This window comes from Homo sapiens, chromosome 10 (assembly GCF_000001405.40).
Source record: "Homo sapiens chromosome 10, GRCh38.p14 Primary Assembly".
NCBI classification, from domain to species: Eukaryota; Metazoa; Chordata; class Mammalia; order Primates; family Hominidae; genus Homo; species Homo sapiens.
In genome coordinates this window covers 11,814,005-11,830,742 of record NC_000010.11, presented here as the reverse complement: position 1 = coordinate 11,830,742, position 16,738 = coordinate 11,814,005, and the positions used below count along the sequence as shown (strand labels likewise).

General features: G+C 45.6%; 1 protein-coding gene across 2 annotated transcripts in view; it reads right to left on the bottom strand.

Moving 5' to 3' along the window:
* PROSER2 (proline and serine rich 2) overlaps window positions 1–7,387 on the bottom strand; it is a 48,922-nt gene extending 41,535 nt beyond the window's left edge. For both annotated transcript variants that reach the window (XM_011519438.3, NM_153256.4), the window contains exon 1: window positions 7,273–7,387. The gene's annotated coding sequence lies outside the window, so the exon portion shown is untranslated. The remainder of the gene's footprint in view (window positions 1–7,272) is intronic.
* Window positions 7,388–16,738: the final 9,351 nt, after the last annotated feature.

Below are 16,738 nucleotides of genomic sequence, written 5' to 3'. Positions count from 1 at the left end.
TTGTTGAAAAAACTGGAAGATTCCAACTAACAGTTCCCATGTTACTATTTTCAGAAGTCCAAGGAATGGCTATCAACCTCTCTCAGAGAAATCAGGACACCTTTAAGTAGCTCAAGGGTAGAGTCGACTATGGAAAACAGAATAGAGATTTCTCAGGGACTAAACCTAGAACTACCACAGGACCCAGCAATCTCACTACTGGTTATCTACCTACAGGGAGAGAAATCATTACATCAAAAGACACCTGCACTTGCATCTTTACCGCGGCGCTGTTCACAGTAACCGTCACAGAATCAATCTAGGCGTCCATCGACAGACGACAGGATAAAGAAAATGTGGTATATAAACACCACGGACGACTACTCAGCCATAAAAATGAATGCAATCATGTCTTTTGCAGCAACGTGGATGGAACTGAAGGCATTATCCTAAGTGAAAGTCAAACTCTAACTCTGAAAGTCAAACACTGCATGTTCTCACAAGTGGGAACTAAACGATGGGTCCACATAAATGCACAGAGTGAAATAATGGACACGGGAGACTCCAAAAGGTGGGAAGGTCCATGGAGTGGGGAGAGGAGGGCTGAAAAACTGCCTATTGTGGCTGGCACAGTGGCTCACACCTGTAATCCCGGCACTTTGGGAGGCTGAGGTAGGTGAATCACTTGAGCTCAGGAGTTCGAGACCAGCATGGCCAACATGGCAAAACCCCGTCTCTACTAAAATGCAAAAATTAGCCAGGCATGGGGGCACACGCCTGTAGTCCCAGATACTCCGGAGGCTGAGGTGGGAGAATTGCTTGAGCCCAGGAGGTGGAGGCTGCGGTGAGCCAAGATCTTGCCACTGCACTCCAGCCTGGGTGACAGAGCGAGACTTGGTCTAAAAAAAAAAAAAAAAAAAAAAAAAAATCAGAAGTAAAGAAAAAAAAGAAAATTAACAGAGCAGACTCACCTCATGCACATTTTAGTGCCATCTCATTCTTAAAGTGATACTGCTGGCATTAGCAGGAGCTCATGCAACAAATTCATTGGTTACCTGGTGTAGATGGAGGGCAATTTGTGGCATATAAAGAAACCACGGTACAGCGCCTCTAAGTCAGTTTGGCAAGTCTGACAGAGCTGGTTCTAGCTTTCTACTGTAGCACAACACTCTTTTTTTTTTTGAGACAGGGTCTCGCTCTGTCTTACAGGCTAGAATGCAGTGGCACAATCACAGCTCACTGTAGCCTCAACCTCCTGGGCTCAAGCATCTCCTGCCTCAGCGTCCTGAGTAGCTGGGTCTACAGGTACACACTACCACACCTGGCTAATTTTTTAATTTTTTGTAGATGGGGGTCTCCCTATGTTTCCCAGACTGGTCTCAAACTCCTGGGTTCAAGCAATCCTCCCACCTTGGCCTCCCAAAGTGTTGGGATTACAGGCATGATCTAGCATGCCCGGGTATGTAATACTTTTAAAAAACTTTTTTTTGAACCTAAAATTCAATTCGACAATTGACATGCCCAGGTGTCTTCCCCTTGTTCATACCATCTTATATCCTCCTTTTTCTATTCTGTCTTCCTCAGTCCCTAACATCCTGTTCAACTTCAAGTTAATCCCTCCATATGTAAACGTCTACTCCACAGGAGAGCCGGGAAACAAGATCTGCCACTGCAACCTACTCAGAAAGCTTCGCTGGTCCATGCCCCCGACTGGAAGGCTAACCCCTTGCGGCATAATAACTGACTCCTCAATTCCACCATGTTGGCCTAAATTGCCCCCTATGCTGCCCTTGTTGGCCCAGCTCAAATGCTACGTTCTCCAGCTGGTGTTCTGACACCCCTGACAGAAAGACTCTCTGTCCTCTGCTCCCAAAACACCTGTGGGTCTCTGTTATCAATTCACATCGGACATTGAATGTCTCCTTTACCCAAGCAAGCCTTCATGGGAGCAGGGCCCACACTGCCTTAGTCACCTCCGTATTCCCAGCGTGTTAGGAACTCAAATCTTCACTACAACTCTTTAAACTCTCAGCATGTTTGTTTATTTATTTATTTATTTTGGAGATAAAGTCTCGCTCTGTCGTCCAGGTTGGAGTGTAGTGGCGTGATCTCGGCTCACTACAACCTTCGCCTCCTGAGTTCAAGCGATTCTCCTGCCTCAGCCTCCCGAGTAGCTGGGATTACAGGCACACACCACCATGCCAAGCTAATTTTTTGTATTTTTAGTAGAGATGGGGTTTCACCATGTTGGCCAGGGTGGTCTCAAACTCCTGACCTCAGGTGATCCGCCTGCCTTGGCCTCCCATAGTGCTGGGATTACAGGTGTAAGCCACTGTGCCCAGCCAAAATGCTCTGAATATTTATAGAAAATACCAATTGTACTATTTTTGGAGGCAGCAATGGACCCAACTCACCTGTTTATAGTCTAGTACAAAGGAGTATAGACTTTTTTTTTTTTTTTTCACACAGAGAGTTCCTTTAAGTAATATGTGCAAACTAAATGGTTTGAAATACCCCCAGAATCCGGTTTGTAAAGGAAAGCTATAGTGAAACTCCAGTTTCAAGGTCTGAGAAGTCATTCAGCCTTACCCTAAATTTTATAGACCAGGAAACCAAGTTCCAGAAGGGTGAAGGGTGAACCCTGAGGCCACACAGCTATTGGGGGCTGAAACCTGACACAGATCCCTTAAATTCCAGTGCAGTACCATTCTTTATCCTGATATGCCCATTAACCTAATTAAAAAAAATAAAATGTAATCTGTGCACATCACAAAGAGACATGTATCAAAAAGAGAAGGTGGCTCTTGCCTGTAATCCCAGCACTTTCAGGGGCTAAGGTGGGGGGACTGCTTGAACCCAGGGGTTCAAGACCATTCTGTGCAACACAGCGAGGCCCATCTCTATCAAAAATACAAAAATTAGCCAGGCATGGTGGCACGCACCCGTAGTCCCAGCTACTCTGGAGGCTGAGGGGGGAGGATCATCTGAGCCTGGGAGGTCGAGGCTGCAGTGAGCTGTGATTGTGCCACTGCATTCCAGTTTAGGTGACAGAGTGAGACCATGTCTCAAAAAAAAAAAAAAGGACTTCCATGTTTGTATGCCCAATGACCCGCTCAACAGCTTGGCACATTGTACGTGGTCAATCCATAAATACTGTACTGCCAGATGAACTGATCAATACCCCAGGCTTGGGGTCAAGAACTACAACAGGCAGAAGATTAAAAATGACAAAGCGCAAGTCAGACAACTGGCTTCCGAGGAGAAGCAGCAGCAGCCTAAAAGAGAAAGCAGGAAAAAACCCACAACAGAATGAAGCTTTAGGAAGGAACCTAAATATACAAACCGAGCCCTATACAAATAACTGTACTTAGTCACATGCAAAATTTCATGATACGAAAGCTAACACAAAAAGAGAATCGAGTTCTCAGCAGACATTTCTCTAAAGAAGATGTGGCCAACAAGCATCTGAAGAGATGTCCAGCAACGAAGTCGTTCGAGAAATGCACCAAAACCACCATGAGATACTACTTCATACCCACTAGGAGGACCGGAATTTTTTTTTTTTTTTTGTAAAGGAAGGCGAAGCATGGTGGCTCATGCCTGTAATCCCAGCACTTTGGAAGGCAGATGTGGGAAGATCGCTTGAACCCAGGAGTTTGAGACCAGCCTGGGTAACATGGCAAAACCCAGTCTCTACAAAAAACACAAAAACACAGCTGGACGTGGTGGCACGTGCCTGTGGTCCTAGCTACCCTGGAGGCTGAGGTGGGAGGATCACTTGAGCCTGGAAGGTTGAGGCTGCAGTGAGCTGAGATCGTGCCACTGCACTCCAGCCTGGGCAACACAGTGAAATCCTATGTCAGAGGAAAAAAAAAAAAAAAAAAGGCCGGGTGCAGTGGCTCATGCCTGTAATCCCAGCACTTTGGGAGGCCGAAGCCGGCGGATCACGAGGTCAGGAGATCAAGACCATCCTGGCTAACACGGCGAAACCCCGACTCTACTAAAAATACAAAAAATTAGCCCGGCGTGGTGGTGGGCGGCATCTGTGGTCCCAGCTACTCAGGAGGCTGAGGCAGGAGAATGGTGTGAACACGGGAGGCAGAGCTTGCAGTGAGCCAAGATCACACCACTGCACTCCAGCCTGGCTGACAGAGAGAGACTCCGTCTCAAAAAAATAAATAGATAAATACATAAATACATAAATAAAAAGGCGGGGGAAAATAACAAGTGGTTGACAAGGATGTCGAGAAATTAGAACCCTCACACGTTGCTAGTGGGAACACAAAATGGTACAGCTGCTATAGAAAACAGTTGGCAGCTCCTCAGCAAGTTAATCACAGAATTACCATATGACCCGGGAATTCTACTTTCAGGTACGGACCCAAAAGAATTGACAACAGGTGTTCAAACAAAAACTTGTACACAACGGTTCATAGCAGTACTATTCACAATAGCCAAAAGGTGGAAACAACCCAAAGTCATTCATCTGATGAATGGGTAAATAGAATGCGATCTGTCCACACAATGGAACATTATTCGGCGATAAAAAGGAGGGAAGCAACGATACACGCCGCGACACGGACGGACCTTGAAAAACATTGTGCTAAGTCAAAGACGCCAGACACAAGAGGCCACAGATTTTAAGATTCCATCTGTATAAACATCCAGAAGGGGCAAGTCTACCGAGACAGAAGGAGATCAGTGGCTGCCAGAGGTTGGGAGAGGGCAATGGGAATCGTCTGCTTAATGGGTTTCCTTTTGGAGTGATGAAAAAGTTCTGGAACTTGATAGTGGTGATGATTGCATAACATTGGGAATGGAATGTACTTAATGCCACTGATTTGTGCACTTTAAAGCGGTAAATTTTATGTTCTATGTATTTGACTATAATAAAAAAGATAAACAGCATGAACTCTTCACAGTGCTACAGTCTCTGGCAATACCTAGTCCGAAGAGACACGTTCACGAAGAGCTCTCCCATCCCTGTCCGACAAGGCAGAATGCTCTCCCCATACAGTCCTTCCCTGCCAATCCTGAATGCACAGATTAGAAACCTAGCACCAACTTTCTTAAAATACTCTTAGGTTTCAAGATGAATGCTGCCAGTCTAGAAAGGGGACAAGGGCATTATGGAAAGCGGCACCTTCACTGTGAGTTCCGCAGACAGAGGCTGTTGATGCCACTGGCTGGACATAACCCGTGCAGAGGGCAGTGCCTCCATGAACACAGGCTTTCCTATGGTGGCCAGGAGACCCCTCAGAGTGGAGCGGGGACGGCTGCAGTCAATCAGGGGCGGAGTTGCAAGGCCCTCTTCTTAGAGCACAGAGGCACCTAGGAAGCAAGCCACCAAGTGCAAAGGAAAGTGAAACGCAACGATGGCCTTCACCGTCAAAGGAAAGAGCTCAGGTTCTGGGATGCTCCTAGGATTCCCCTGGCACCTCCCGAATGGCCTCTGTGCCACCGGCAGCTGCCCCACAACACTGCAGATAAGATGCACTTGAACTTCTAAGTTCTAGAGGCTCCCCTGTTCTCAGCTCTGCTCTACGCAGGCCCTTCCTCTCTCCCCCTTCAGGTTTCCAGGCTCCACTCCTGGAGTTATCTGAGATGATCTTCCAAATCAACACACAGTGCCAACTCTGGGCGCCTTGGGTGTCTAAGAACTTTGGAACCAAGGCCAGGTATCTCTTCAGCTGCCGATGAAGGCTTGCTTGATCTGGTTTTAATCAGTTTGGGCCATGTGGCTGTTATCTAGAAATGACTGTATGCTGGACGACCAGTCACGGCTCTGCGCGCTGTAGGTGGTCAGTCTACAAATATTCCTGAATGAATTAATGGGCAACTCCCCCACCCCCGGCAACCACAGATTCAAACACGCTCAGACCTTCCTAAAAGCATCGCTCCTCTTTCCAGCCTTCGCTCCACTATATCACTCTAATTTTGGATTTCTGATTTCTAGTAATGGAGAAAATGTGTTACTTTTAAATCATCAGCATCTAAAATTTTCAAAGAAAGCTCATTTGAAGTGCTGTTACCAAGGAATATAATCCAGTCGCTTTAACATGGCTATTACTAGTCTGGACAAGAAAACACACAAGATTCCATACATACGCTGTCAACTTTGGCAAGAAAGATTTTAGACAACTTCCATCCTTCCCACCCAATCCCAAGTCAATAGGGCATTTGTTTGTATTTCCACATTGGCTTCATGAACGAAAATACCTCCTCCACCTAGAAAAACAATCAGTAACATTCAGACACGGAACTTGGAGGGCAAACTTTTTAGTGCATGCTGGGGCACTTTTATGTAGTGTTTTTAAAAAATAATGTAAAAAGTATTTTTAATAAAGTTTTCTCCTATGAGTATTTCCCTCAAGTTTCCACGTACGCCTGGTTTGGTCTTTCGATACCTTTCAGAAATACCGATTTTTAAAAAATGTTCTCCGTTAAAATTGGAGCCAGAAAGAACCTTCTTCCTACAGATCTGAACGTTTTACTCTGTTTAGGGTGGAAAAACACACACACACTCATTTTCCTTCACTCACTTTAACTTTTCTGCTCTGCACGCACTAGGTTCTGGTAGAGTTAAAAGTTTTCTGAGGTTAGTTCCTGTGGTTAAGGAAAAAAAAAATACACCAAACAACTACATGCTTAAATTTAGACTCCGTAAAACAATACTGGGAAACTTTCAAAGCCTTGGAGAAATACTGGAGTTTATTTTACTGCCTTTTGTTCAATTTCATCACACGGGCCACATTTTCTCCTCTATTTTAGTCCCTCCCGCCGCGCTGGGCTGGGCAGACCCTGCACATCCCCGCGTGATTCCAGGACCTGGGGGCCCGGGTGGAACAGGTGGCTCCGCCCGCCGTGTCGGACCCGCACCCTCTCCCCGAGGCCGCATGGGGTCCCACGGCGCAAAGGACAGGGGTCCCGGGTTGGGGGACGGACGGTGGGGACAGCGGGGACCCTCTGCGCCCAAGGCTGGGAAACCCGCCTCCACCCCTGAGCCCCCAGGATAGCCCCAGACTCGGAACCCAGCGCGCTCCCCGCCGCGCCCCGACTCCGAGGTCCCCGAGGAGGCAGCGACGCCCCGGGGTCGGGGGTCGGGCACCGGGTGGCCTCTGCGGCGGCGGCGCCGGGCTCCCCTAGTCAGAGCGAGGAGCGCGCCAAGGCAGGGTCCGGCGCCCCCTCTCTGCCCGACCCGCCGGCGTCCCAGCCAGAGCCCAGCGCCGCCACCGCCGCCAGGACGCCCTCCCGTCGCTCCAGCCCTGCCCGGAGTCCTAGGGCCCCACTCACCTCGCGGGAGACCCCTACCCCGGGACTCAGGTGTCCACGCCGCCAGCGACCCGGAGCCCTCACGCCGCCGCCCGTCTGGCGCAGACTGTTCCGGGACGCCCCGCCGCGCGCTCTCCCTGTGCGCGCCCACCCGCGCGCGCTCTACTGCCGCCGCGCGCTCGCGCCGCCCGAACTCGCACTCCTTAGGCACGCACTGCGCGCGCCCGCGGCGCTTAAAGGGCCGGGCCCCGCCGCGCTGGGGGACCTCGCGGCCGCCTCCCGGGGGTCCTCGGTCAAGGTGTGAAGTTCGAGTTGGGGGACAGCACCGTGAAAATCCCCAACCCCATCGCCGAGCGACCCACGCGGAGAAAAGCAATAGGGATGTGTGTCTGAAGCTTGCAAGAGATGGGACATTAATTTAATCTAATTTTTATTGAGACAGGGTCTTGCTGTGTCGCCCAGGCTGGAGTGCACGTTGTACCATCTTGGCTCACTGCAACCTCCACCTCCCAAGTTCAAGTGATACTCGCATCTCAGCCTCCCGAGTAGCTGGTACCACAGGTGCATGCCACCACACCCAGCTAATTTTAAAATTTTTTGTAGAGATGGGTGGGTGGGGGGGGGGGTCTCATTATATCGCCCAGGCTGGTCTCGAACTCCTGGGCTCACGCGATCCTCTCACTTCAGCCTCCCAAAGTGCTGGGATTACAGGCCTGAGCCACTGCACCTGGCCTTTAATTTTTTCTTTTGTTTTTTATTATGGTCAGCTTTGAGAGGCTATTTTATACTTAATAATGCTGATGCAACTTATTGCATACCTGTACCCTCAGACACAGCATTTAATGTGCATACACCACATACATTATTTCATCTAATCCTTAAAATGGTTTTCTGGTTTCTTAACCCCATTTTACAGAGCAGGAAAGCTGAGGTTCAGACAGCTGAAGAAACTCATGGGAGAATTTTTGACCCCATGGCTCGTTGCATTTTCTTCTTCAGGCTATCACCGTGGAAATATCTCCGAAGGTTAATAGCTGGTTGCGGAAGGCTTTTGTAAGTTGGTGGAAGTTAATGTTACTGGGTTTAACTCAGTAGGCAGGGAGAAAGCAAGAGTTATGGGGTTGTATTAATTGTAGGATTTGTTATATACTCAAATGACAAACGTTGTAACAACCTAGATTCCCAAAATGTTTGTGTTGCTTCCCATTTTACAGAAAACTAAGAAGGAAATGGTTGCACAGAATGACTGAGTCACTGGCCCCACTCAGGGTTGAGCCCCAATGCCTTAGTCCTGAGGTCATTTCTTTGCCCTCCCCAGAAAGAGATACCTGATTAAAGGGAAGAAAACTTTTCCTCTAATAACACATTGGCCTCACCTAACTCCCTGCATCTTTAATTAATGTTTACAAAGCACTTTAATCTACCCAACATGCTACTTAATTGGGTCAGTATTATTATCCTCTCTTTCTGAACAAAATCCAGGAGACAATCAACTCTGACAATCCTTAATCCTCAGTGAATAATAAACCTAAGCTTTCTGGTTATGTTCTTTTATTTTCCCTCTTACATTTTTGTCTCATGTTGTGTTAAATATGAACGCATTTATCATGAAGTGACATAATAAATGGTAATATTAAACATCTACCTATAGGTGACAGGTAATATAGCAGCTGCTGTCTTTAAGGAATTCATTTTATTTTATTTTTTGAGACAGGGCCTGGTTCTGTTGCCCAGGCTAGAGTGCAGTGGTGAAATTGTAGCTTACTGCAGCCTCCAACTCCTGGGCTCAAGTGATTCTCCTGCCTCAGCCTCCCAAGCTGGGACTCCAGGCACGAACCATTATGCCTGGCTAATTTTTTATTTTTCTTTTTGTAGAGACAGGGTCTAATTCTCACGGTAGTCCCAAACTTCTGGGCTCAAGTGATCCTCTCCCCTGGGCCGCTCAAAGTGCTGGGATTAAAGGCATGAGCCACCACGCCCGGCCCTTTAAGGAAATCAGATCAAGAGAAAAAAAAAACTTTCCCTTGATTTTGATAAATGATAATTTTGATAAATGTTGATAAATGCTTCCTAGAATTATTTTTCTTTTTATTATTCTTTTTGCTTGGTTAAACTTTTATGGTGCCTTTTCTTACAGTTGAAAAAGAAATGAGAGGGATGAGATTGAAGGATGATGGGGTTGGCAAGGAAGAAGGGGAAAAGAAAAAGGCAGAAAAATAGAAGCAGAAAATAAACAAGGAAGAAAATGAGACTGAGAAGGCTTCAACCAACAGGCAGTTAGGGATGTGAGGCCAGCCCCTGCTAGCATGTCCTAAATCTTTATGGGAATTATGATCAGGTGGCCCTCCTGTGGCCTGGCACAGACCTGGCCAGAAAGTTAGCTCAGGCTGGTCCACTGCCCTGATGTCCCCCTGGCCTATGCACCTTTATGACAACTGAATGCACAAAGGGACTAAAAAGTGAGAAAGGACAGTGAAGCCAGGTCAGAGGAAAAGAAATGGTTTACAGGGGGAAATTTAAAGATGGTTATTTGGCCAGGCCCGGTGGCTCATGCCTGTAATCCCATCACTTTGGGAAGCCAAGGTAAGCGGATCACCCGAGGTCAGGAGTTCGAGACTAGCCTGGCCAACATGGCGAAATCCCATCTCTACCAAAAATACAAAAATTAGCTGGGCGTGGTGGCACATGCCTGTAATACCAGCTACTCAGGAGGCTGAGCTAGGAGAGTTGCTTGAACCCAGGAGGTGGAGGTTGCAGTGAGCCGAGATTGCGCCACTGCACTCCAGACTAGGTGACAGGGTCTGTCTCAAAAATAACTAAATAAAGATAGTTATTTATGAAAGTACTTAGATAATGTCCATAGGAAAAGAAATGAACAAAGAAATATCTGGAGGGTCTTTGTATTGTTACAGTTTTAAAACTTATGAAATTTTTAAAATTTCACTGTAATGTCACTTGACTTTTTCATAAATGTTTTCTGAGGCTGGTCTTTGCTAAGAAAATCCTGATAATACATGACCCCCAAATATTAAAGAAATATTAATGAACTTTATATAGGTTAAGAATTTTAAAGTAAGCTAAAAAGAAAAGCTATGTCTTTTCATGTTATAAAGGAGTATATTAATTACTGTATAAAATTGACTTCAGAGCCAGGCGCAGTGGCTCATGCCTGTAATCCCAGCACTTTGGGAGGCCGAGGCGGGTGGATCACGAGGTCAGGAGATCGAGACCATCCTGGCTAACACGGTGAACCCCATCTCTACTAAAAATACAAAAAATTAGCCAGGCGTGGTGGCGGGCGCCTTGTAGTCCCAGCTACTCCGGAGGCTGAGGCAGGAGAATGGCGTGAACCCGGGAGGCGGAGCTTGCAGTGAGCAGAGATCGCGCCACTGCACTCCAGCCTGGGCAACAGAGCGAGACTCCGTCTCAAAAATAAATAAATAAATAAATAGACTTCAGAAACTGTACTATATTGTAATATATATCATGACCACTAGAGGGAGGCAGACAGGAAAGGAGAAAGAAAGGTAAGAAAATTTCATAACTTTACTAAAAAATCGACAGCAGTTTGGATCTGACAGGGGAGATGTAAAAGACATGATTTGTTATTACCTCAAGCTGTTTATCCTTTTTGAGCCTCAGTTCCTCATCTATATAATGAGGCTATTAACGCCTACCCTGTAAGGCTAAAATGAAAGTATTTTAAAGTGTATCTGAACAAATTGAACAAATGATAGGTGAGAAAAGTTAACAAAATTAAGAAAATGAAGAAAAATATGGGCAATTGACCTATTTATTATTGAAACATAGTCTAAGGCTTTACTGATGAAATGTATCATAATAGAACAATATAACCCAGGAAAAGGTAGTGTACACTTTCATATGTGATAAAAGTCATCAAAAATAAATGAAAAAGAGATGGAGTCTCAATAAATGGAGGTAAGAAACGTAGTAATTTGAAAAGATAATCAAGTTAAGCCCTTACCTGTCATTATATGCTGAAAGATGTTCTAGCTACATTAAATAATTTTAAGGTCTAGCGTGGTGTCTCACACCTGTAATCCCAGCACTTTGGGAGGCTGAGGCAGGAGGATTGCTTGAGCCCAGAATTTCAAGACCAGCTTGAGCAACATAATGAGACCCCCGTCTCCACAAAAAAATACAAAAATTACCCAGATGTGGTAGTGCATGCCTTTAGTCCCAGCAGCTCACAAGGCTGAGATGGGAGGATCACCTAAGCCTGGGGGCGTTGAGGCTGCAGTGAGCTGTGATTGCGCCACTGCACTCCAGGTTGGAGGCAGAGAGAGATCCTGTCTCAAAAAAACAAAAAAAAATTTTAAAATTAGGGGAACATATAGGCAAATATTTATGTGATCTCAAGGTGAGGAAAGAAAAGAAACAGAATACTCAGGAAGGAAATGACCATTAGATTAGATTACATAAAAATTTTTAAAATTCTGGTAACTAAAAATATTGCAAACAGAATTCTAAAAGACAAAAAAAAATCTGAAATGACAGAACTCTGCATAACAAATCCAAGATTTAATTGCATCTTTAGGAGTACACACAGATTAATAAGAAAACCCTAATAAGTCTGTGGGAAAATTTCCTTAAAGAGAAAATTAAAGTGGTTAGTAATTAGCCATGCGTATATCTGTGTAAGTGTGTGTTATTATATTTTAAAGGGTTTAGGTTACCTAGTAATTTAAAAAATAAAAATGTTAAATAATACACAATATTCTCACCTTATAAATTAGAAAATATATTTCAGGTTCTAATATTCAATGCTGGCAGGAGTGCAAAGAAATGGGCAATTTTATTTATTTATTTATTTAGAGATGGAGTCTTGCTCTGTCCCCCAGGCTGCAGCGCAGTAGTGCTATCTCAGCTCACTACAACCTCAGCCTCCCAGGTTCAAGCGATTCTCCTGTCTCAGCCTCCTGAGTAACTGGGACTACAGGCGTGCACCACCACGCCCGGCTAATTTTTTGTATTTTTAGTAGAGATGGGGTTTCACCATGTTGGCTAAGCTGGTCTCGAACTCCTAACCTCAACCGATCCACCCACCTCGACCTCCCAAAGTGCTGGGATTACAGGTATGAGCCACCATGTCTAGCCAATGGGCAATTTTATTTATTTATTCTTAGATGGAGTCTCACTCTGTCTCCCAGGCTGGAGTCCAGTGGCACGATCTTGGCTCACTGCAGCCTCCGCCTCTCAAGTTCAAGTGATTCTCCTGCCTCAGCCTCTGGAGTAGCTGGGACTACAGGCACGTGCCGCCACGCCCGGCTAATTTTTTGTATTTTTAGTAGAGATGGGGTTTCACCATGTTAGCCAGGATGGTCTCCATCTCCTGACCTCGTGATCCACCCGCCTCGGCCTCCCAAAATGCTGGGATTACAGTCATGAGCCACTGAACCCGGCTCCAGTGGGCAATTTTAAATACAATTAGTGGGAACATAAGTTGATATAACAACTGAAAAGCAATTTTGTAAAATATTTCAAGAGCTTAAAATGTTTATGTGTTTTGACCCTATAATTCCATATCTAGGGCTTCTACGGAAAAAATAAAAAATAACCACAAAGATTTATGCTTAAAGATATGTACACACTGTCTCCCTTTTCCATACTGTCAGGAAATTAGAAACAACCAAAATACCCCAAATCAGGGAGAAGTTTAAATAAATATTATGCAGCTGTTAAAAATGAGGAATTTTTTTTTTTTTTTTTTTTTGGCCAGGTGCGGTGACTCACACTTGTAATCCCAGCACTTTGGGAGGCTGAGGCGGGCAGATCACCTGAGGTCAGGAATTCAAGACCAGCCTGGCCAACATGGTGAAACCCCATCTCTAGTAAAAATACAAAATTTAGCCAGGTGTGGTGGCAGGTGCCTGTAGTCCCAGTTACTTGCAAGGCTGAGACAGGAAAATCTCTAGAACCTGGGAGGAGGAGGTTGCAGTGAGCTGAGATTGCGCCACTGCACTCCAGCCTGGGCGACAGAGTGAAACTCTGTCTCAAAAAAAAAAAAAAAGGAATTTTTTATGAACTACAGGAAAATACCTAAATATATTGTTAAGAGAGAAAAAAGAACATTTCAAAATTGTATGTAAATTATTACTTCAGCTATGGAAAATGCATGTATATACAGAAAACCCAGACAGAAATATATTAAAAGGATAACAGTTACTCTTTCTGGATGTAATTATGTGTAATTCTTATTTATAGCATTGTATATGTTTCAAACTTCCTTTTGTAACTTCATATTCTTTCTTTTTTTTCTTTTGACACAGAGTTTCGCTCTTGTTGCCCAGGCTGGCATACAATGGTGTGATCTCGGCTCACTGCAACCTCTGCCCCCCAGGTTCCAGCAATTCTCCTGCCTCAGCCTCCCAAGTAGCTGGGATTACAGGCATGCACCACCACACCCAGCTAATTTTGTATTTTTAGTAGAGACGGGGTTTCACCATGTTGGTCAAGCTGGTCTTGAACTCCTGACCTCAGGTAATCCGCCCACCTTGGCTTCCCAAAGTGCTGGGATTCCAGGCGTGAGCCACCACTCTGGCCTCATATTCTTTTTATAATGAACAAACACTAATATATTTCATTTTTTTAGATGAGACAGTAAATGCCAGTGTGCACAACATAGAATCTGGCTTATATCAAACTTTTTTTTTTTTTTTTTGGCAAAGTCTCACTCTGTGCCCCAAGCTGGAGTGCAGTGGTGGGATCATGGTTCACTGCAACCTCTGTCCCCTTGGCTTAGGTGGTCCTCCCACCTCAGCCTCCTGAATAGCTGGGATTACAGGCGAGTGGCACCATGCCCGTCCACAAAGTTTCAATAAATATTTGATAGGTGTATGGAAGGAAGAGGAGATTGATGCATCTCAGGGACAACTTGTTAGTGAAGTTTCCTGATCAAAAAAAAAAAAAAAGATCAGGTAAGGTGGCTCACGCCTATAATCCTAGCACCTTAGGAGGCCGAGGCAGGAGGATAACCTGAGGTCAAGAGTTCGAGACCAGCCTGGCCAACATGGAGAAACCCCGTTCCTATTAAAAACACAAAAATCAGCCAGGCATAGTGGTGGGCGCCTGTAATCCCAGCTACTCTGGAGGCTGAGGCAGGAGAGTCACTTGAACCTAGGAGGTGGAGGTGGCAGTGAGCCGAGATCGTACCACTGTCTACTGCACTCCAGCCTGCGCAACAGAGCGAGACTCCGTCTCAAAAAAAAAAAAAAAAAAAAAGAAAGAAAGTTAAAAGTTATTCTATTTCTACAGATGAGGAAATTATGACCTGGAGACTTTTTGGTGACAAGTTTAGAGAAAAGCTATAAAAAGATAACAAACTAGTTTCACACACCCAGCAGGAGTGATGTGCCGCCTTGTCCATATTCCAGGCCTATATTTTGAAAGAGAAACACATTTCTTGTTTTGTTTGACTGTGGAAGAAAACAGTAGTGATGTCTAAGGTTAATGATAAGGGTTCTGAAAGAGAAGCAGGTCTCCAAATGGTGTCTGGTAAGAAATAAGTGTTGTTTGTGCAAACTTTAGGAACTGCAAGTGACTGAGATCCAAACAGGGCCAGAGGGTGTATGGCACCCATTTATTCTTCATTCAAAAATGATTTGTGAGGACAATCATGGTGGCTCATGACTGTAATCTCAGCACTTTGGGAAGCCAAGGTGGGTGGATCACTTGAGGCCAGGAGTTTGAGACCAGCCTGCCCAACATGGTGAAACCCTGTCTCTACTTAAAAAAAAAAAAAAAAAAAAATTAGCTGGGTGTGGTGATGCATGCCTGTAATCCCAGCCACTTGGGAGGCTGAGGCAGGAGAATCACTTGAACCCAGGAATCAGAGGTTGCAGTGAGCCAAGATCGTGCCACTGCACCCCAGCCTGGGTAACAAGAGTGAGAGTCTTTCTAAAAAAAAAAAAAAAAAAAAAAAAAAAAAAAATTGTGGTCTGTTCTGTGCTGTTTGTGCATAAGGTCCGAGAGATGCCACCATGAACAGCAGAGATAAACTCCCTTGCCTGCATGGAACTTATAGTCCAGGAGGGGTTGGGGGCTACAGGCAAGAATCAGATGGGAAGCCATTCATGGCTAACAATTAATTAATCCACAGATAGAATATAAGTGATTCTGCAAATGAAGCAACAGGTAGGATGATTTCCCTAAAGATAAGCCTGAGAAGTGACTGCAGTTAAAATTTTGCTGAGGACTATGTGTTTTGCTTCTGCTGACCTCTGGCTAGTTTTTGGTTTGCAGATGGAGTAGGCCACTCTGGCAGGATGTTGAAACTGGCTTGGGAACCCTGCAGTATGTGGGGAGATCAAGGTAAGGCAGCTGCAGAGAGAAAGCGAGGCTTTTATTGATTGATTGATTGAGATGAAGTCTCACTCTGTCCCCCAGGCTGGAGTGCAGTGGCGCGATCTTGGCTCACTGCAACCTCTGCCTCCTGGGTTGGAGCAATTCTCCTGCCTCAGTCTCCCAAGTAGCTGGGATTACAGCCACGCACCACCACGCCTGGCCAATTTTTGTATTTTTAGTAGAGATGAAGTTTCACCATGTTGGCCAGGCTGGTCTTGAACTCCTGACCTCAGGTGATCCACCCACCTCGGCCTCCCAGACTGCTGGGATTACAGGTGTGAGCCACCGCGCCTGGCCAAGGCTTTCTTTTAAAGAAGAGCTTCAGGAAGTTTCCTAGGTAAGGCATCCTTTAACCTCCAGCTTCCCGCCAAACCTCCAGTAAAACCTACATTCTCCCCGAGTGCTTTGCGGGTGAACTTTGTTTTCAGGAGATTTGAATATGAGTGACATTGGCCTCAGGTGAGTGCCAGGTAACAGCAGGGGTCCCCACTGAAACCCACTTCTGTTTGTGTTACAGACATAGGAGGCGGCCCATCGGAAAGGGAAGATGGGCACCGTGCGGAGAGGACCTGGCGCACGCTGGGAGCTGGTGTTACCCTTCTGGGAAGTTTATTGTTGTCGAGCCTTTTCAGTTCGGGTATTTCATAATACCAGATTTCTAATTTTTCCATACAATGAATTCAGTGGTGACTCATGACATAACTTCCTTTCCCATCTGCCCCTGAACTGAAGGGTGTTCATTTCCTGAATTCTGAATTCTGAGTTGAGCTCTTTATCCCACTTGTAGGGTCAGGACAGAGGGGATCAGCAGCAGGAGAGCTGCCCACTTAGTGTGGCAGCAGACCTAGGTGTGTCCCTGAGCTTTACAGATCCAGCGCCGGGTTCTGGGCAGAGCACCTTAGTTATGAGCAGGCTCTCAGGTACTCAGTCTCCGCTGTATTTCCGTGTTGCGATATTGGTGGAGGGGACGATGGAGGACCCTTACTGACAATTCCCGGAAACACTTAACATATCTTATTTCAATTTCTAAATTGGTAAGTAGGATTTAAAAAAAAACAAAACTCTTCCTACAGAGAACCACAACAGGAAAAGAAGGGAGAAACACACCAAACGCTGCCATCCA